Consider the following 20780-nt stretch of genomic DNA (forward strand, 5'->3'; position numbering starts at 1 on the left):
TTTAGGCCTATTTTCATTCTGAAGTCACCAATGATTCAAGAGGGAAACAACAGAGAAAGTTAAACCACCCAACTTAAATCTAATTCATGCTAACGATCTGATAGGAATCAGCTCTGGCCAACAGCTGGGAATGAGGCGTGGAAGTTCCCTTGCCGCAGACAGCATCAGGGACAGATGCTGCAGCTCAGCAGACCTCGCCCTGGTTTCTTTTGAAGACTCCAGCCTGGTGGTGTGAGGACTGCTGGGCCCCTTTACTGGAATTCACACGACATGACCTTGCTCAGCTGCCCTCAATGGCCTGGGCAGGGTAGGAGGTGGCTGGCTGGCTTAAGGAGCCTCCTGCCAGGCTGGTGGCACATTCCCCAAGGATGGCACCTCCCTACTTGCAGCCTCAGCTCTTAGCAGCCATCACTCCCTGGGTGGTCCCAGGCTCCATTCCTTGCTTTCTTACTTTTGGCCTTGGTCAACAGAGAACATGCAGCTGCCCAAGATAGCTTCCTTTGAGGGACAGGGTTAGCATGGGTACACAGGGAATAATTTAGTAGAAGGTTCCTGTTTCTAACTGGATTATAATAATGACAGTGATGACAACAGCTATCACTTACTGAGTGCTTATTACTGGCCAGGTACCGGGCTACCCATTTTTCATGTATTAACTCAGTTAATCCTCACAACAGCCTGTGAGATAAGATAGGTGCTATCACCATCCCTATCTTATAAATGAACAAACTGAGGTTTAGAAGTCAACACCTCGCTCAGGGTCACATGGCTAGTAAAGGCAGAACAGGGATTGAAGCCCAAGTGAATCTGACTCCAAAGTTTATGCTCTTACCAATAATAATAAGCTAAGCCATCCTGAATCCAGACCAGAAGCTCAGATCCAGCCCTCAGTGGCTCAGCATCGTGAGGCCTGCTGCAGGCCCACCCTAGATCTGTTCAGTACAGACTGCTCTCTTCTCTAACTGTCCAGCTCAAGGTCATATACAGATGGAATCTCTTGACTGAAAGGGATTACTCAGGTGGGTGGCTGGGTAGATGACGGGGGTATACTTTGCCTTGTGAGCAGAATCTAGGGGTGTTTTGGTAGGATCCCTAAGCGACTAAACTGTGTTCTATTCACAAAGAACTATGTCTGAAGAAACACCTTTCCCTACCTCTCCCAATCTGCTGAAGTGATTCAGTTTTGCAGTTTGGGGAGAGATGAGATCTGAGGATGGGGCCAGAACTGTCACTATCCTAAGAGATGTCAGGGGTCTGGGATGCTGTCCACAGTCACCATTCATCTGACACAGGCATGCTATAGTGTCACAGCGCTCACCTCCAGAGAGGCCCAGGCCGTGGAAAGAAGGAAAACTCTGCACATTCACTTCCTTGTTCATGAGGTTAACCCAGACTGCAGTGAGCGGGACAGAATGCCTGCCTAGCCCATGGGGGAACACTGCCTCTGCCTGCTCTGACTAGGGATATACAAGGTTATCACGGGGCTTGAAGTGAGCTTGACTGAGGTCAAAAGAGGGTCAGAGAAGCTTGTCTGAGGTTGGCTCAGCTCTCACAGTAAACGAGGAAGTGCAAGGTTATGAAATTACACAGACCAGGGTAAGCACAGTTTCCCAGAGGCCACTAACATGAAGGAACCCAGGAGACTCGTGGGAAAAGGAAGAAGTGGGCAGCCTGGTGTGGGTCACAACCTTTGTCTGGTCAATAAGCCTTAGAACGAGAAAAAAAAGTGTGGCACTACCAAGATCCGGGACCAGAGAAGTCATCTGTTCCTTGTGAGGGCAGAGAAGGCCTTCTCTGGCTTTGGTGCTGTGGCCCTCTCTGGGCCTCACTTGCCTCACTGGATTTGGGACTGCAGGCTCCCCTGGCCACAGGGCATCTTTGGGCAAGCCTGGGAGCTAACCTGGCTGTGCCCTCAGCCTGAAAGTGCGGGTGAAAGAGCTGACGGAGGCACTGCTCCACCTGTGCTTCCCCACACAGTACCCAGGGCTTGGGTGGCACTGCTCTGCCCTGCCTGAAGCCTGGATGCCCTGCCAGCTTTAGCAAGCCTGCTGTCCCCTCCCATGCTAACAGCTCATTCTTTCCCATTATTCTCTGCCCAGGTTTCATCTGGAGAGTCTGGAATCCTAGGCTCAGCTTTATCCCTGGAACCACCTCTGTCCTGGAAGCTGAGCCCTATGTCATCAGGGGTGGGGTGGGGCTCTCCAGTTATTCTAATGAAGCCAGTCCAAGACTCTGCTGCTCTCAGGACTCTGATCCAAAGGTGGCCACTCTATCACTGTTTCAGATCACAAACGACAGCTTCCAGCTGACATCTGGCTTCCTTGGCCTGTTGCTGACTTCATCCCTGTACCCCGCCCTGCTCTACCGGGCGCTTGAGACTGCTGCAGGCCAAATGACTGTGTTGGCCTATGGGTGACCTGGCCCCTGGCTAGAATCGCTTCCGTCCCTTCCCTTAGTCCCATGTTCCTTCCCACCTAAGTCTCTTGTCTTTAACACTGTGGGGTAAAAAGAAGAGTCAACCTTCAGGTAAAAGTGAGGTGTGTGTGAACACACATCCAGACAGAAATACCCACACCCAGACACACAGCAGGGCAGCTGGAAGTGATACTAAATGCATACATGCTCCAACAACATCACACTCACAACCACTCAGAACCCACAGAGAGCAGGGAAGCTGGCAGCAGTGTTTACTTAAACTGACACACAAACCCAGCACACACAGACCCACATCAACAATCACTCCCAGAAAGACACAAATAGGCAATGGCAATATATAGGGCAGGGCAACTGCCAGTGGACTATTGCAGGGGCGGGTACACAGGCTCATGCATGTGCATGCGCGTGCGCACACACACACACAGACGCGCACACACACACACAGACACACACACACGAGTCTGGAGTGAAGCAAGGGCTACAGGAACAACCAAGGGCAAACAAACAAGAGGAGAATTCCTTAATCACATCAGGATGTGCAGGAGGGAGGGAGGGAACAAGGGAGGGAGGGTAGGGCAGGGGAGGGGTGATTTTCCACACAGGGCCAGCAATGTCAGCTCTTCCTGTACGTGTGCTGGAGGCTGGAGTTCAGGCCTGTGCTGCATTGGGCTCCACACATCTATAAACTTGATCCTGACCACCCCCCTCTCCCTTTCCTAAGCCTCGAGAGCTGCACATTATTCAACTCCTTTCTTTCTTTTCCTCCCTTCTCCTCAATGCAGCATTAAAAGAAGCATCTGGAACTCGTAGTGGAGTAGGATGGAGGCACCGGGGTGGACTGGCAGGAAGGGGCACCATCAGAGCACACTCTCGAGAAGCTGGCTGGTCACATTAACACAGACGCTGTTCTCTGTGCTCATAAATAAGCAGGAGGAAAAGCTGAAGCCACGAGCAGAATGGGGAGGGGGCCTTCCCTCTGCCACAGCGGGCTCTTCCCGCATAGTACCTCATCTTCCAGTCGTGTTCCCTCTTGGCTTCCCATTTCCTTTCCCATGGTGTCTGGGACGGGTGCCACTGACACATACTTTCCACCCTTGAATGCCAGCAGAGGCTCTTCTTGTCCACAAAGGGCTTCCAGAAAATACTTCAGCACTGTGACCCTTTTGCAGTCAGCTGCAATAACCTACAGGGTGAGAGGGAGAGAAGAAAAACAGCATTTTCTGAAAGGGAAGATGGAGACGAGATGTTGCTTGCCGGCTGAGGGGCACAGGGGAACTGTGTCAAAGCTACCAGGCAAGGGGGTCAGAATGAATGACGGGGTGCGGAGGGCACAAGGGCATGTCAGGTGGTAAGTGAGGGCCCAGGGCAGGCTGAGGATCAAGATCTTCTGAGGTTATCTCTCCTTAGGTTATCTCTGGGGCAGCAGACAACCCCAGGGACCAGTGACAGGTGCCTTACATTTATTTGAGTAAGGTCCTGATACAAAACAGAATATATGACATATCTTCTAAGTTTGGTCTAGAACCAGCAGAGGGAAGAGTGGAGTGCTTTCACAGCATAGAGCTTTCTGGGGCCCCTCGCTGCCACTCTCCACTCCTCTCCCAGCACCCCTGCTCCAGACTCCCAAAAGGAGAATTTTCAGCCCAAGTGCAAATTGAATGCTAAGGGCTTTCTTGGCTGTTTCATTTCAACCAGATCATTTTGGGCTTCCCCTGACAGGTTCCTGCCCTATCTAAGAGCTCCTCATGCTCAAGAGACTAGAGTCAGGCAGGAAATTGTCAGGAGAGAGACAGGCAGAGCAGGTGGGGATGTTTCACCAAAGCTATACTCTTTCTGACGTTTACGCCAACCTGCTCCCATGTGGCCACATCAGCACACAAGTCAGTGCTGTCAGAGAAGCTTGGGCTGATTTAGCTGAGATGAAACTCAGTATCTTGAGCAACAGTCAAATGTGTAAGTGTCTCAGATTAAGTGTCCACCGTCCCCCAGTCTGGGCCCCCCTTCTGGAGGCACCACACCTGCATGCCCTCTCCTCCACACCCGTTTGCTTGGCTCACACTCTCCTCCATGCTTGCCCCTGTGTGCCCTTCTCTTCATCTCTAGCCTCCAGCATCCTCTTCTCCCTACTGGCTGAGTGCTCACCAAGGGAGAGGGGCCCTGCTGGATCTGGAGCTTGAAAGCTGAAGGCCATTCCACATGGGAAACACACGTCCGTGGCCAGACGTGCCACAGGGGACGGCCCCTTCATCCTCACTGACTAGCCCCTGCCTCTCTTTTAATGCATCCTCGTTTCTTAGTGTGAAAGGAACTTCACAGTAATAAGCCTTCTATCTGCAGCACATAGGGAAGTACTAACCTGGAGACTACTGATGATCATTTTACAGGTGCAGGTGTTCTCTCTCTCATGTGGACAGCAACCCCTCTGGTGGCAAAGCCTAAATCTCATCGTTTTCGTACGTCACTGGCAAGAATTGTAAGGACAAGCTGTGCACACAGTAGGCTCACAGTAAAGACGGACAGCCCAGGGAAGCTCGGCTGGGTACCACAGAGAGCAGATGAAGCAGGCATGACCCATGTTCTCTAAGACAGTGGAAATAAATGAGCACCGCTGTGCAGGCTGGCTGCCCAGGAAAGTGCGGCACACACCGGTCAACTGTGTGCTCTGTGGCTGCATCCTCTGCCACCTTCACCAAAAAGCCAACCCCGCTTTCCTACACGGTCTAGGAGTGTTCTCTGCTTTCTCTCACCATTGGCCCTGTTACCATTATAGGCTGGAATCTCAAGCTAAGTACTTTGACCACCTTCACCTGAGAGGTTGATGTAGAAGGTTCTCGGCTACCCAGAAGGGCTTAGAAAAAGTTCAGCCCCTTGAGCTTGGGGTGCCTGGTCCTGGGCTTGCCTCCGTGAAGGAGAAGGGAAGCTTGTCTTGGCCCAGGGCAGGTAAGCCTGGTTCCATTGCGTGTATTCAAACATGTGATGAGGAAGGCTAGAAATACAGAAGCAGGGGCTAAAAGGCATTAAAGAACAGAGCCGAAATGAGTAATAGCCTGGCAGGCAGCACGCACAGTGGCCTCCCTGCATCTCCAGCCTCTCACTTGCATAGGAAACTTCTGCATTTCCACAAGACTGCCAGTTTCCTCTCTGTGGTCTAATTTTAACCACCTTGTCGTTACAGTGTGTGTCAGCCACCTGACCCCACTATGACCTCTGACCTTACGCCCCAGCTACTGCTTGCACTATGGAGAATTATGTAATGGGTCCAGGATTTTCCTTCTTGGTGTGAGGCTGCTGCCACTGAATGGAGAGGAGAGGGGAGCTAAGGAGTGAGAAGAGGACAGAGGAAAAGCTTGCAATTGTCCTTGGCCTCACCTGGACGATGAGAGGTACACTGGCACCCCTGCTAAGTGTGCAGAGGAAACCTGCCCAGGACAGGAGTGTGCCACGGACACATGCACAGACAGGCGGGCAGGAGTGTTGCTGCTGCTAGAGCACGGGCTACATGGTATGCTGCGTGGCTAAGAAAGCATGGTTTCTGGCCGACAGGGAGAAAAGCCACATGTGTGGATGTGGGACTCCTGGAGATGGGGATTTCCAGGGCACAGCAGGACCCAGGGATGTGGACATCCTGAGGCCACCTGCAGCACTTCCTTACAGGGTCTGTGGGAATTGCCTATTCCATGGACACAAGCAACGAGGAGTAGCCCTCTCCCAGTTTTCATTTCCGCCCCATTTAGAAGGAAATTGGTTTCCTTGGGGATTGTGTCTGTCATAGCTATTAGTTCCTTCTCTAGGACAAGGACAACTGCTGGCTGATATGCAAAAGGCTGTGATCTACTGGGGTCTCTGACCTGGTGTTAACAGGCCTGGAAAGGATTCTACCTGTTTGGAGAGAGAAAGGTTGTCTGTCTTTTGGAAGAGTACCCTGTCCTTTGCAATCCAAGCAGCAGGGAGGATGGTCAAAGCTGTGTAAAGTGTACTGTGGGAGTGAGAAGTGCACAGTCTGAGCTCTTTAGTAGATGGAGAAACTGAGAGGCAGAATGTCCAGGGCTTGCCCAGAGGCACAGAGAAACCTTCTGTCTGTAGCTCACTGGCCTGTCTGCAAAAGCATTCTGTCTTAACTTGGGGGGAATAAGCCCACTGGGGAGAGGACCACCGCTCTCTTGATGCTGGAGTTCTGTAGGAGACTTACGGGAATATTCTCCTAGACAAAGCCTCCAGCACTTGAGTCAGGGAAAAAGCAACACAAGACAGTTTAAATACAGTTAATAAGAGACTTCATAATGAAAGAAGCCTTTCAAACCACTGACAAAAAGCCAATTCCAAGATGATCTTTGCTTGGTCTAGGAGGACTTCCTGGTAGGAGAGGGGTTAAAGCTGGACTCCCTGCTTGGAGAGGAAGGACTCCAGATGAAGTCTGTGACATCATCCCCACAGTTAACTCTGCTCGTGAGCACATTTTTCCACTCTATATCAATGAAAACCAGAGAATGTAAGTGGCATGTATATCGCAGCTCTGGGGGCAAACTCTGGATCCTCCAGAGGAGAAAGAGCTGGGCGGGAGAGGCTCCCTTCCTGGGCTACATTAGCACGTGGGGCTGGACTGGGGATAGAGGCGACTAAAAGGGCCGCCAGCCAGGGAACACCCTGGGGAGCCTACGGACCTCTCCTCTGCGGTGTACCTTCTCAGTCACAGTCCTGACCCTTCTGGAGGGAGATGCACTGTGTAGGCGATTGTCAAGAATTCCCAAGTTAATTGACAAAATATCACATACAAATCATTTCAATCAGCTTGGGAAAGAAAACTGGGGCTTTAGGTCAGGGAAGAGCTGAAAGAAAGCCCCTTTCCCTTCCCCTGAAGATTGTCGGAGGCAGCTTACCACTGCAGCAGGAACTGAAACCTTTAGCTTTAGGGCTCCAGTTATCACTCTAATCAAGTCCACACGCAAAGAACCAAGCAGAAAGGAAAACTGAAAGTGAGATGTGGAGAGGCGATACCGGAGGCTGTTCTCTCCTAGGCTCAGTTCCTTAGAGAGAGATAATGTAAGCATCGGGTAAGTAGGGGCTGGAGCCAAGGGGAGCGAGGAACAAAGGAGAAAACCTCTAGGTCAAGAGAGTAGACTGGGTTACTGTTCTGGGGTATTTAAGGTGGAGAGGTGGAGAAGTAAAGAAAAATGGTGTTTCTTGACTGGGCACGGTAGCTCACGAATGTCATGTCAGCACTTTGGGAGGCCAAGGTGGGCAGATCACCTGAGGTCAGGAGTTCAAGACCAGCCTGGACAACATGGTGAAACCCCATCTCTACTAAAAATACAAAAATCAGCCGGGTGTGGTAGTACATGTGGTAGTCCCAGCTACTAGGGAGGCTGAGGCAGGAGAATCGCTTGAATCTGGGAGGTGGAGGTTGCAGTGAGCCGAGATTGCACCACCGCACTCCAGCCCAGGCAACAAGGCGAGACTCTGTCTCAAAAAAAAAAAAAAAAAAAAGGAAAGAAGAAAAAATGGTGTTCTCTGAAAACTGGTGACTCTTCACAGCCACTCGGTAGGGAACAAGCACAGTGTGGGTAGAGATGCCCGGCGGGGGAGGGGGGTTGGGGAGAGAAAACGAGCTATATGCTGCTTTATGAAGGTAGGGAGGGTAAGAGAGAACGGGAACTAAGCACCAGGTATCACATACTCATGTGCTCTGAGTTGCAAGACTTAACACCTCAGGGCAGCCCCGGGGAAGGGAGAAAACCTCCAAATCTAGCCAGGGAATATGAGGAAGGGCTGGAGAGCCAGGACCCTGGATGCAAGCTCTAGGGAGTGAGGGACTCGCTCTATCGTTACCTGGTCCCCGTTTTCTCCAAACAGGCTTCTTGGAAGGCACAACCATGGTTACTAGTCATTTTGCAAAATTTCTTTTTCTGAATTTTTGGTTTGGAGAAATCGGAGTTTAAACTTGTACTATCAGCCAGTTCTTTTTTCTAGTCTTAACAGTCCAGCTTGCTACTGCTCCTCTGGTTAAAGAGAACAATCACACGGGTTTCCCCCCACAAACTCAAGTTTACAGGTTGTTTTTCTTGTTTCTCTAAATGGAGCCAATTATTCTCACATTTGTTGAAACCTTCAATCAAACTTTATAGCTTGTTAATTTTACAGAATGTCCTTAGAGCAAATAAGATGCAGACAGGAACATGAAGTCTTTCTGAGATTATTAAGAAACCTTAAAATAGCCTACAAATCCAACACCAAGGCTGGTAAAATACAGGCTGCTTGGCTGGCTTCTGAGGTCAATTAGCAATGGGTTAATTATCATCTTTAATGAGCCAAACCTCCAGGATTGGCCACAAGAAATTTAACTCAGACTAATGTGTTTTCACAAACTGGGAACCTCTAGTTATGCACTACTCACCCTCAGAGGAAACTGAAGGGTGGGAAGCTCAATTCTGTAGCAGCCAAGGGTGGGCCAGCCTACGAAGGGGTCTGCCAATGGAAGTTCAGACACAAGAAATAAAAAATACCACACAGGGAATCCTCTGGAGCTGGGAGGACAGAGGAAATGGTTTATTCACATTCCTAGGGGGAGGGGCCTCCTGGCAGGAAGCAGACTCCAGAAGGCAGGAGCGAAACTGGCCACAAGGATGCACAGTCAGTCTGAAGACACAGGCAGTAGCTTAGGATGGGGAGACAGACATTCACAGCCTACTTGAGTCAGAAGAAGTTGGTATGAAATTGAGAAAGAGGCTCATGGGTCAGAGAGGAGGGAAAGAAAGAACCTGTGCAGGGGCTGAATGATAAGGGGGACAGAGTGAGAAAAAGCACACATCCTTGGACCAGATGCATCTCCTGACAACCTCGGAGCATACTGTCCAAGGGATCAATTCAAACAGTATTTCACTCTTTCCCTACCCCTGCTATAGCTGGGCCTCTTTCTATGTAAAGCGTTAAGTACAGGCTACTTTCTCAGTCTTTTTGCTTTTTTTTTTTTTTTGAGAGAGAGTCTCGCTCTGTTGCCCAGGCTGGAGTGCAGTGGTGCGATCTCGGCTCACTGCAAGCTCTGCCTCCCGCGTTCACGCCATTCTCCTACCTCAGCCTCCCGAGTAGCTGGGACTACAGGCACCCGCCACCACGCCCAGCTAATTTTGTGTGTGTGTGTGTTTTTTTTTAGTAGAGACGAGGTTTCACCGTGTTAGCCAGGACGGTCTTGATCTCCTGACCTCGTGATCCGCCCGCCTTGGCCAACCAAAGTGCTGGGATTACAGGCGTGAGCCACTGCGCCTGGCCCCTTTTTCTTTTTTTTTTTTTGAGACAGAGTCTTGCTCAGTCACCCAAGCTGGAGTTGCACTGGCATGATCTCAGCTCACTGCAACCTCCGCCTCCCGGGTTGAAGCGATTCTCCTGCCTCAGCCTCCTGAGTAGCTGGGATTACAGGTGCGCACTACCATGCCTGGCTAATTTATGTATTTTCAGTAGAGACGGGGTTTCGCCATGTTGGCCAGGCTGGTCTCGAACGCCTGACCTCAAGTGATCCACCGCGCCCGGCCTTTCTCAGTCATTTCTAATCCCGGTGTCCAGATCCAACCCTCCGTAGTCCTATGGTTGGCCTGTGCTAGCTGAAGGGTCATTGGGTCACAAGATGAAATGCTAACATCATTGGTCCACCCACAGCAACCACACCATTCCATGTGTCTGGTCCCAACAGCTGTGTTTTCTTCTTAGAGGAGGCAATGAGGGCCATTATCAATCAGCCAGCATTGCACAGATGCCTGCTGTCCCCACCTGTAACCACCAGGTGTGTGCTGAAGTCTCTTAGAGAAGGGGAGGTGGGAACTGGCAAATGGTCAGATGGCAAGACCTGGTGCTGGTGGGGAGACTATCCCAAGACAGGGTTACTGAAGATCCCAAAAGGTACACGTATATTTGGCTACTAGGAAGGAGACGATGTTCACACTGAAGGGAGAACCAGGGGAACAGGGGAGTTGTGAAGCACACACAGGAAGTAATGAGGTAAATAAAGTATAAAAAACAGGGCCATTCTGGCAAGAGGCAAGACAAGGCAATACAGGAGGTTGGACAAGAGCCTGGGCTTCATAGTTACACAGACGTGAGTTCAAGTACTAACTGCCACTTCCTGGCTGTTTATCCTTAGACAAGTTACTTAACCTCTCTGAGCCTTTGTTTGCTCAAGTTGTTTGTGAGGTTTAAAAGATAATACAGGCCGGGTGCAGTGGCTCATGCCTGTAATCGCAGCACTTGGGGAGGCTGAGGCAGTGGATCACCTGCGGTCAGGAGTCCGAGATCAGCCCGGCCAACATGGTGAAACCCCATCTCTACTAAAAATACAAAAATTAGCTGGGTTAGTAGCGGGCTCCTGTAATTCCAGCTACTCAAGAGGCTGAGGCAGGAGAATCTATTGAACCCAGGAAGTGGAGGTTACAGTGAGCTCAGATCGTTCTATTGCAATCCAGCCTGGGTGACAGAGCAAGACTCTGTTGCAAAAAAAAAAAAAAAGATAAGACAAGCCTGGGCAACATAGTGAGACTGTGTCTGTCAAAAACAAACAAACAAACAAAAAAGCTGGGCATGGTGGTGCAACACACCTATGGTCCGAGCTAACTAGGAGGCTGAGGTAGGAGGATTGCTTGAGCCGGGGAAGTCAGAGCTGCAGTGAGCCATGAGCACGCCACTGCACTCTAGCCAGGGTGACAGAGTGATATCGTGACTCAAAAAGAAAAAAAAAGACAGAGGGAATACATATCAAATACTTAGCGAGATGCCTGGGCCCAGTAGGTGCTCGATAATTGAGCAGCTGGCATTTTTTTTTCCTCTTATCTCCACTCTCTTCAGAGGTGGGAGGGGCACTGCCTAACATGGCTGAGCTGTTTGGAAGCCAGTCTGAGAGGCAAGGTGGGAAGCATGGGGCTGGCACATAGCCTAGGGCCAAGGGGAGAGGCCCTGGAATGCTTACCTGGCTGTTGAAGCTGCAAAAAAAATTTTTTTTAAATTTGTCCAGGCTGGAGTTTGCAGTGGCGTCATCATGGCTTGCAGCAGGCTCAGTCTCTTGAGCTCAAGCGGGAAGCTGGCTAATTTTTAAAAATTGTTTTGTAAAGATGAGGTCTTGCTATATTGTTGGTCTCAAACTCCTGGCCTCAAGTGATCCTCCCACCTTGGCCTCCCAAAGCACTGGGATTACAGGCACGAGCCACCACTCAGGGCCTGAAATATTTTATTCAGAACTAAGGTGCTAGATCCAGGCTACTGGGCTGGCCAAGCAGGGGAGGAAAGACCTTGCCTCTCTTCAGCAATCCCTCTCCCTATTCTTCAGAAAGACTCCGGACCTAACCATAGGTATGCATGCATTACTCCAGTAATCTAGAGAGGCTCCAAGGTCCCGGGCTTCGGAACAAGCGGGCCACTAATAAATGTATCAGAAATACAGTCACAATTGCCTTGTCCATGAGGTCCCTTCACAGTGGGGTACGGGCGGTGGCTCTGCCTTTGCTAGTGGGATCGTTGAGGGTTTGAGGAGGCCCTGCAAACCCTGCAACGTAACTTTCTTTCTTTTTTTCTGAGATGGAGTCTGGCTCTGTCACCCCAGGCTGCGGTGCAGTGGCGAGATATCAGCTCACTGCAACCTCCACCTCTTGGGTTCAAGAGATTCTTCCTAAGTAGCTGGGGCTACAGGCACGTGCCACCACACCCAGCTAAGTTTTGTATATTTAGTAGGGATGGGGTTTCACCATATTGGCCAGGCTGGTCTCTAATTCCTTACCTCAAGTGATCCACCTGTCTCGGCCTCCCAAAGTGCTGGGATTACAGGCGTGAGCCACTTTGCTTGGCCAACAGTATCTTATTTTATTCTAAGATGGGGTCTTGCTTTGTTGCCCGGGCTGCTCTTGGCTACTCCGAACTCCTGGCCTCAAGGAATCCCACTGCCTTAGCCTCCCAAAGTGCTGGGATTATAGGTGTTAGCCACCGTGTCCAGCCTGGTATCTTTCTTAAATAAGACCCAGCTGGATCCTTGCCTCATGTCTCCCAATATGAAAGTAGTGATGAGAAGATCCCCAATATGGTATTTTCTACCCACCTGAATTTCCTGAGCTTAGATGTTCCAAACAAAGCCAGATAGGAGTCTGGTCTTCCATGGGCAGAGTAAGCTTGCTCTTCTTGAACTGTTCCTTCATGGACAGAAACTATTCTTTTCTAGAGCTCTCGGCTCCGGCTGTACCAGAAAGGTACATTCTCAGCGGCAAAAGCGTCACAGAGAGCAAGCTATAGGCAGCAGTAGCTCGGGCTTCAGTCCAATTCTGCTTCCCCTGCAGAGTGCTCTTAGAGCAGCCACCCACATTGGCAGGGGTTAAGGACGGATATTGGCACTGCCAACACAAGCCTTTCAGGTCTGGCTGGCTTCAGCTGATCTGAAACCTGGAACACAGGCGCTGGGGCCCTCACTTACTGAACCAGCAGGGGAGGCTGCAGGCTCAGCCCCTGGGGATGAAAGTCCTCCCGTCTGTCTCAGTCTGCAAATATCCACACACAGTCTGTTTCTACACTGCCAGTTAGCTCTGGGCCAGAAGCACTGAACCTTGGGCTCTAGTCACTCTGAACCACACTGTTTGCCTTCTAGACAGCCACGTCCAGGAGGCCTCCCCTTAGGTTTGTGTTTAGGCTCCTTTACCAAATTTGCTCCTAATTGTATTTATTCTACGCGTGGCACAAGAGTGGACTCTCGGAGACATCTGTAGTCTTCAACACACTTAGGCAACATGCAGTTCAGCAACATGTAAGTGCCTACTGTGTGTGTGAGGCACTGTCCTCCAGACCCTGGGGACTCATCACAGAACAAAGGAAAATCCCTGTTTCACTTGGGGGGTTGGGTGGCGTGGGTCACATTCATACCAGATACATCAACAGACCCCCTGCATCAAGAGAGCACGCGCCCCTCCCCGGCTGCCATGACCTGCGGTACTCAGGAAGGCAGAATTCTCAGCCCAAGGGAGAAGAAAAGCTCCTTGCAGAGACCCAGGACACTGCTCCTTCATTCCTTTCAGGCGGATGGGTCCCGAGGAAGTCGGGATGGAAAATTCTTTTGGGCTTAGCCTTGCTATCAAATGAAATCCCAAGCTCCTTGCAAACCCTCGCCCACCCACCCCTCCCCCCAAAGATCACTACTGGCACTTGTGGCTATTATTCCCTAATCCGGAACTTCAAGCCCCAGGCAACCCCCTTTGCTATACCCTGCAGGCTGTCTGCTTCCCCTGGCACCTCTGAAAGTTCACATATTACTCCCCCAACCTGCAGTTATTTTACATTTAAGCAATCAATTCATTCCCTCATCGTCTTTTAAGCTTGGTAAGGTCTTTTTCTTTTTTCTCTTTTTTTTGAAACAGAGTCTTGCTCTGTTAGCAATCAAGGCTCACTGCTGCCTCAAATAACTGGGCTCAAGCAATCCTCCCACCTCAGCCTCCAGAGTAGCTGGGACCACAGAGGCACACCACTTATGTCTGGCAAATAATTATTTATTGAGACAGAGTCTCACTGTATCGCCCAGGCTGGAGTGCAGTGGCGCGATCTCGGCTCACTGCAACCTTCGTCTTGAACCTGGGTTCAAGTGATTCTCGTGCCTCAGCCTCCTGAGTAGCTGGGATTCACAGGTGCACGCCACCATGCCCGGCTAATTTTCATATTTTTAATAGAGATGTGGTTTCACCATGTTGGCCAGGATGGCCTCGAACTCCTGACCTCAGGTGATCCACCTGCCTTGGCCTCCCAAAGTGCTGGGATTACAGGCGTGAGCCACTGCGCCTGGCTAATGGCTAATTTTTTTTTTGTAGAGACAAGGTCTTACTATGTCCCCTAGCTGATCTCAAACTCATAGCTTTAAGTGATCCTCCTGTATTGGCCTCCCAAAGTGCTGGAGTTGCAGGTGTGAGCCGCCCATCCCAGCCTATAAGTCCTTCAAGACGCCAGTTAGCCTTTGTCCAGTCTGCCAGCCTACCTTCCACAAATCTTTCGTAACGCCCTACTATGTGACAGGGACTGCTAGACATCCTGGGCACACAAGACAAGACAAGACAAGACAAGACAGATGCAGTCCTTGACTTCACATGACCTTCAGTCCAGCAAAGGACTCCACAGGAACCTCACACTAACCTCTCCCAAGTACACAGGTATCCCTCCAGCAACTATGGACTAGGCCTACACTTCATTCATCTTCTCTGACTCCATTAGCAGCCCTCAACATCTGCACTACTTGTACGTCACAAAGTGAATTCTTTTGTCCTTTGGTTGGAAGAGACCTTAACAATCACTCAGAGCCACAAGAGAACCTCCTCTAAATACCCCTCAGTGATCCAAGTCTTTCTTGACTACTTCTGGTGGAGAGGACTCAAGGCCCTGGAGTAGTTTTTAAAATCAATCATTACTTAACATTGAAGAAATATATAATTTTTCTTTTCTTTTCTTTTTTTTTTTTAGACAGGGTCTCTCTCTGTCCACCCAGGCTGGTGTGCAGTGGCACAATCACGGCTCACTACAGCCTCGACTTCCTGGGCTTAGGTGATCCTCCCACCTCAGCCTCCCAGATAGCTGGGACCACAGGTGCGAGCCACCACACCTGCTAATTTCAGGGTTTCACCATGTTGGCATGGCTGGTCTTGAACTCTTGGCCTCAAGCAATCTGCTTGCCTCCGCCTCCCAAAGTGCTGGGATGATAGGCATGAGTCACCACGTCCAGCCAATCATTTTTATTGTCTACACTAACAGACTTTTTTCCTGACCATTCTGTATGAGGTGTGTTACTGTGTTGAATCTGTAAGGGGGCATATTTCCTACCAGAAGGCCATTCTATTTTTGGACTTTTCTAATTGCTAGAAATGTTTACACCTTTTAAACCCAGATCTGCCTCCCAATGCTTCTAATTCGGTTCTCTGGGGCCATGTAAAAAAACAAAAAACAAAAGAAAACAAACTCAAATTCTGCTTTTATCTGACTGGCCTCAAATTATGAGGTCTGCTGTGTTATACACCTTCTCTAGGCTAAACAGTCCCACTTCCTTCAACTGTGCCTCACTCCAACTGTCTCCTAAACATCCTGCTTATTCTTTCACTAAGACTTTCACTAAGACTAAAGTGTCTCCCACAGTGAGTGCCCACGTGACCTGGTAGCAGAGCAGAGAGTAGACCATTCCCTCCCATTTCTATCGGGGATACTCAATTTTAATAATAGACTTAACAGCATTACTGTTGTTGTCCCCACCTTGCACTACTGATAAACTGTGAGCTTCTTTTTTCCTTTTCTTGGGGGGCGGGGGACAGGGTCTTGCTCTGTCCCTCAGGCTGGAGTACAGTGACGAGATCATGGTTCACTGCAGCCTTGACTTCTCAGACTCAGGTGATCCTTCCGCCTCAACTTCCTCAGGAGCTGGGACTACAAGCACGTGCCACCACACCTGGCTGTGTGTTCTGTAGAGACGGGGTTTCACCATATTGCCCCAGTTGGTCTTGAACTCCAGTTCAAGTTTAAGGAATCCTCCTGCCTCAGCCCCCCAAAGTGTTCGGACTACAGGTGTGAGCCACTGTGCCCTGCCAATTGTGAGCTTCTAATCAACAAATCCCCAAATTGTTTTCACATATGTTGCTAAATCCTATCTCCCTTTATGGAGTACAAGCCCTCCACCAACTATTCCCTTTCACATCTTTTCCTTCACCAAGGTCTTCTCCCCATGCCTGAAGAAATCCGATTATTTACCATTGTGCTGCATGCTACATGCTAAGTGTGGCTGACTTTTTGGACCAGGGTAGGGTTTTACATTCTTTCTTTTCTGATTTCATCTTGTCATTTACTTCTCCCCATTGCAACCTATTAAGTTCTCTTTGGATCCTAAATTTTTCATCTAAGAATGCATTCCCTTCTCAGGTTTATGTTACATACTTTTTGTTGTTGTTGTTGTTGAGACAGTCTCGGTCTTGTTGCCCAGGCTGGAGTGCAATGGCGTGATCTCGGCTCACTGAAACCTCTGCCTCCTGTGTTCAAGTGATTCTCCTGCCTCAGCCTCCCGAGTAGCTGGGATTACAGGCACCCGCCACCATGTCCAACTAATTTTTGTATTTTTAATAGAGACGGAGCTTCCCCATGTTGGTCAGGCTGGTCTCAAACTCCTGACCTCAGGTGATCCACCCGCCTCAGCCTCCCAAAGGGCTGGAATTACAGGCGTGAGCCACCGTGCCTGGCCATGTTACATGAATTTTATCAGTTGGTTTTATTTACAATTCTTAATATCTTTCTCCCATTAATCTGTCGTGTTTTTTTCTCCTAAGTAAGATTCTTGAGGGGAGGCACTAGTGTGTGTGTTTGTGTGTGTGCTTAAAATAAAATCTATCTGCAGTATTTAACATGCACTATGGATACCTGAACAATGTGGATGAGTGATCGTGGGGGTCAGATGGCAGCCTCAGGACAATCCCAGAGGACATCACGGAGGTGGTGCGGCCATACTGCCTATACTGTGTCAATCATGCTCCCCGAAGCTGTGCAACACAGACACCTGGACACACTCGGAGATGCTACCTTCTGTTTGGGGGGTGCTCCTCATGGGGGTTTGGACTCAATAAGGAATAGGGACTCCTCTTTGACAGGCTGCCTCCAGTTTCTCATGTGAAACCAGATACCAGAAGAAGCCACGCTCTGGGCAGGTCTTAACTCCATGGAGGCTGTTGTACCAGGTCAAGGTAAAATGTACCTCCTAAGAAGTGACATTTAATGATCTTCAAAGCACTGATGTCATGCTTTGAAAAAAAAAAATTACATCCACATCTGAAGAACCCCCACAGCATATTAAAAAATGTAGTATGCAGACATTCTCTGAGATTTGGGCTGAGGTAGAAAGCCATTTTAAGTTGCATTTTCAGGTTCTATGTTTCTGGAGTCCTGAATCACAAACATGACCCATGCCTCATAGTTGGAGACAAGAGAAGCTTTGTTAACGAAAACGAACTAGCCTATCCATAGCTCGGGATAACGTGTAAGTCAGCAAATGGCTGCCATACAGAACCAGCTCAATCAGTGTCAGTTCTCCCTTCTTCACATCTGAACATGAAAAGGCATTTTTTCAAAACCAACTGTATCACAATCACACGCTGAGCTTATTAAAAATGCAGATTCCCGAACTCCACTTTTTTTCTGGAGACTGGGTCTCACTCTGTCGCCCAGGCTGGAGTGCAGTGGTGAGATTTCCGCTCACTGCAACCTCTGCCTTCTGGGCTCAAGTGATCCTTCCATCTCAGCCTCCTGAGTAGCTGGGACTACAGGTGCCTGCCACCATGCCCAGGTAATTTTTATCTTTTTTTTTTTTTTTTTCGAGACAGTGTCTTGCTTTGTTGCCCAGGCTGGCGTGCAGTGGCACAATCTTGGCTCACTGAAATCTCCACCTCCCAGATCTAAGCAATTCTTCTGCCTCAGCCTCCTGGGCAACAGGGATTACAGGCAAGTGCCACCATACCCAGCTAGTTTTTGTATTTTTTGTAGAGATGAGGTTTTGCCATGTTGGCCAGGCTAGTCTCAAACTCCTGGCCTCAAATGACTCGCCCGCCTCGGCCTTCCAAAGTGTTCAAGTACAGGAGTGAGCCACCGTCCCTGGCCTAATCTTTGTATTTTTTTTAGAGATGGGTTTTCACCACATTGGCCAGTCTGGGCTTGAACTCCTGGCCTCAAGTGATCTGCCCTCCTTCACCTACCAAAGTGCTGGGATTATAGGCATAAGCCACTGGTGCCCGACTTTGTTTGTTTTCTTTTTACCTAACACTACTCCTTGGCTATGGATTCCACTTTGAATTCAATGAATTAGTATTTCTTGAGATAGGACCTTAGAATGTGTACTTTTAAACATTTTATTCTATGAGACAGGGTTTTGCTCTCTCACCTAGGCTGGAGTGCTGTGGTGTAAACACGGCTCACTGCAGTCTCAACCTATCGAGTAGCTGGGAATACAGGCGCACACCATCACATCCAGCTAATTTTTAAAAAATGTTTTGTAGAGATGGGGTCTCGCGATATTGAACAGGCTGGTCTTGAACTCCCAGGCTCAAGAGATCCCCCTGCTTCAGCTTCCCAAAGTGCTAGGATTACAGGTGTGAGCCACAGCACCTGGCCAGAATGTATTGCACAGGCTGGTCTTGAACTCCTAGGCTCAAGAGATCCCCCTGCTTCAGCCTCCCAAAGTGCTGGGATTACAGGTGTGGGCCACAGCACCTGGCCAGAATGTGTGTAAGTGTTCCAGGTACTTATGAACACTGAGTTTTAGAATTACTGCTTTAAAGGATGGAAGGTTAGGTCAAAGTGGTCACAATTTTACTAGACTCTTCAAAATGCAACTCTATTTTTCAAAGGTGCAAACACTACTACTATCTATATATTTTTTGAGACAGGGTCTTGCTCTGTCACCCAGGCTGGAGTACAGTGGCGTGATCAAAGCTCACTGCAACCTTGAACTCCTGGACTCAAGTAATCCTCCTGCCTCAGCCTCCCAAGTGGCTGGGACGACAGTCATGCATCACCATGCCCAGCTAATTTTTGAATTTTTATTTTTGTAGAGATGGGGCCTCGCTATGCTGCCAGGACTGGTCTTGAACTCCTGGTCTCAAGCAGTCCTTCTGCTTTGGCCTCCCAAAGTGTTGGGGTTACAGCCGTGAGCCACTGCACCCAACCTACTTTATATTTTTCATGATACTTTTAGGATCTAGAAATCCTCTGCACTCTTTGATGCAGTTACTACATCCAGATGATGTAGATGAGGAAACTAAAATTCAAATAAATTCAATGACATTCTCAGGAGAACTAAGATCCAAAGCCAGATAAAATGACTTCCTCATTCAAGGTTTACCAGCTCACCAGCGCTACCTTCCTGGAAGAGTGCCATCGGCCTTCCGGGACGTAATAAAACCTGCTGCATGCCTCACTCACCCTTCGCAGCCACAGCGAACACCGAGCGAATGGTTACTACAAGCCAGGCACTGTGCCAAATGCTTTACACGAACCAACTCGTGATCCCCACAACCTCATGAAGTAGATACTGTCACTGCTTCGATTATAGAGGTGAGGAAATTAAGGCACAGAGAAGTAACTTGCTCAGGAAATGCAGCCAGTAACTGCAGGGGCCGGACTGTTCTAACTGCCACAGCTCTCCATGATCCAGAACATTCACAGGTGTTTCAGAGACCCTCACCATCTCCCCAAGGAGAAAGCTCTTCTCTTGCCTGGAAATTCACAGAAGAAGAGAAAAAGGCAGCCTCTCAGAGCTGATTTCTTGAAGACTGAACTCTTCTGGGCATGGTGCACTCCTCCTGGGTGGGTGACACGCCACAGTCTAGGACAAGCAGGGCCTAGTGGAACGACAGTGTCGTGGCCTCCTAACTTGTGTGCTCTCAGGCAAATTACTGAGCCCTGTCTGCAAGATGCTAATAACTCTGAAGATCTATATTCCTAGTCCTTTACAAAATTTTATTATAAATTGACAATTTATATTTGTGTTTATTTACAAGGGTACAAAGTGATATATTTTATGAATACAATGTATAATAATTAAACCCAGCTAATTAACATACCCATCACCTCAAATACTTATCATTTTATTGTGGTGAGAAAATTTGAAATTTACTCTTAAAGGAATTTTTTTTTCTTTTAGACAGGGTCTTGCTCTGTCACCCAGGCTGGAGTGCAGTGGTGTGATCAAGACTCACTGCAGTCTTCACTTCCCAGGCTCAAGTGATCTTCCCGCCTCAGCCTCCCAAGTAGCTGGGACTACAGGCGTGGACCACCACATCCTGCTAATTTCATTTTTTTTTTTTTTTTTTTTTTTTTTAGAGATGAGGTCTCACTATGTTGCCCAGGCTGGTTTGAGCTCCTGGTGTCAAGTGATCATCCTGCCTCAGCCTCGCAAAATGTTGGGATTACAGTTGTGAGTGACCACGTCTGACCTCTTAAAGCAATTTTAAATGTACAGTGCTGTATTTTTATGCTCACCATGCTGTTCAACAGATCTCAGAAAAACACACACCCATCTTTCTCCCATGGAACTGACGCTTTGAACCCTTTGACCATCATCTCCCCATTTCCCAGCCTCTGTAGCCACCATCCTACTCTCTGCTTTTATGAGCTGGACTCTTTCAGATTCTACATGTAAGTGAGAACATATGGTATGTGTCTTTCCGTGCCTGGCTTATTTCACTCAGCATAATGCTCTTCAATTCCACCCATGTTGCTGAAAACAACAGAATTTCTTTTTAAAGGCCAAATAGTACTCCATTGTGTGTATGTCCCACCTTTTCTTTATCCATTCATCTGTTGATGGACACTCAGACTAATTCCAT

At 49.0% G+C, this 20780-nt stretch overlaps 1 protein-coding gene and 1 long non-coding RNA gene across 14 annotated transcripts in view, besides 8 other annotated features; one reads left to right on the plus strand and one right to left on the minus strand.

The window, feature by feature from the left end:
• The window catches only part of SMG6 (SMG6 nonsense mediated mRNA decay factor), a 243947-nt gene that overhangs the window by 22444 nt on the left and 200723 nt on the right, over window positions 1–20780 (minus strand). For 10 of the 13 annotated variants that reach the window (XM_011523769.3, XM_047435696.1, XM_005256569.5 and 7 more), the window contains one exon: window positions 3443–3619. In XM_011523769.3, coding sequence (XP_011522071.1) covers window positions 3443–3619 — 177 coding nt within the window. Of the gene's footprint in view, window positions 1–3442; window positions 3620–4792; window positions 6480–20780 lie in introns of those variants that run through there. The other 3 variants (XM_047435700.1, NM_001282326.2, XM_047435697.1) reach the window with 3 other exon arrangements.
• Window positions 1618–1677: an enhancer, noted in NCBI's record as "active region_11468". NCBI's record gives its function as "activates an Ori minimal core promoter by ATAC-STARR-seq in GM12878 lymphoblastoid cells {active_cell/tissue: GM12878}" and the evidence as "EXISTENCE:reporter gene assay evidence [ECO:0000049][PMID:35858748]".
• Window positions 1748–1827: an enhancer, noted in NCBI's record as "active region_11469". NCBI's record gives its function as "activates an Ori minimal core promoter by ATAC-STARR-seq in GM12878 lymphoblastoid cells {active_cell/tissue: GM12878}" and the evidence as "EXISTENCE:reporter gene assay evidence [ECO:0000049][PMID:35858748]".
• Window positions 2283–3195: an enhancer, noted in NCBI's record as "H3K27ac-H3K4me1 hESC enhancer chr17:1987859-1988771 (GRCh37/hg19 assembly coordinates)". NCBI's record gives its function as "activates a minimal SCP1, AML or CMV promoter by ChIP-STARR-seq in naive H9 embryonic stem cells {active_cell/tissue: H9 hESC(naive)}" and the evidence as "EXISTENCE:reporter gene assay evidence [ECO:0000049][PMID:30033119]".
• Window positions 5657–5706: an enhancer, noted in NCBI's record as "active region_11470". NCBI's record gives its function as "activates an Ori minimal core promoter by ATAC-STARR-seq in GM12878 lymphoblastoid cells {active_cell/tissue: GM12878}" and the evidence as "EXISTENCE:reporter gene assay evidence [ECO:0000049][PMID:35858748]".
• Window positions 7068–7247: an enhancer, noted in NCBI's record as "active region_11471". NCBI's record gives its function as "activates an Ori minimal core promoter by ATAC-STARR-seq in GM12878 lymphoblastoid cells {active_cell/tissue: GM12878}" and the evidence as "EXISTENCE:reporter gene assay evidence [ECO:0000049][PMID:35858748]".
• Window positions 7258–7357: an enhancer, noted in NCBI's record as "active region_11472". NCBI's record gives its function as "activates an Ori minimal core promoter by ATAC-STARR-seq in GM12878 lymphoblastoid cells {active_cell/tissue: GM12878}" and the evidence as "EXISTENCE:reporter gene assay evidence [ECO:0000049][PMID:35858748]".
• Window positions 7378–7477: an enhancer, noted in NCBI's record as "active region_11473". NCBI's record gives its function as "activates an Ori minimal core promoter by ATAC-STARR-seq in GM12878 lymphoblastoid cells {active_cell/tissue: GM12878}" and the evidence as "EXISTENCE:reporter gene assay evidence [ECO:0000049][PMID:35858748]".
• SMG6-AS1 (SMG6 antisense RNA 1) lies at window positions 7456–20021 on the plus strand. The gene is made up of 2 exons (NR_199038.1): window positions 7456–7487; window positions 18840–20021. It is a non-coding gene; the product is annotated as an SMG6 antisense RNA 1 (long non-coding RNA).
• Window positions 7508–7587: an enhancer, noted in NCBI's record as "active region_11474". NCBI's record gives its function as "activates an Ori minimal core promoter by ATAC-STARR-seq in GM12878 lymphoblastoid cells {active_cell/tissue: GM12878}" and the evidence as "EXISTENCE:reporter gene assay evidence [ECO:0000049][PMID:35858748]".

This window comes from Homo sapiens, chromosome 17 (genome assembly GCF_000001405.40).
Source record: "Homo sapiens chromosome 17, GRCh38.p14 Primary Assembly".
Classification (NCBI taxonomy): Eukaryota; Metazoa; Chordata; class Mammalia; order Primates; family Hominidae; genus Homo; species Homo sapiens.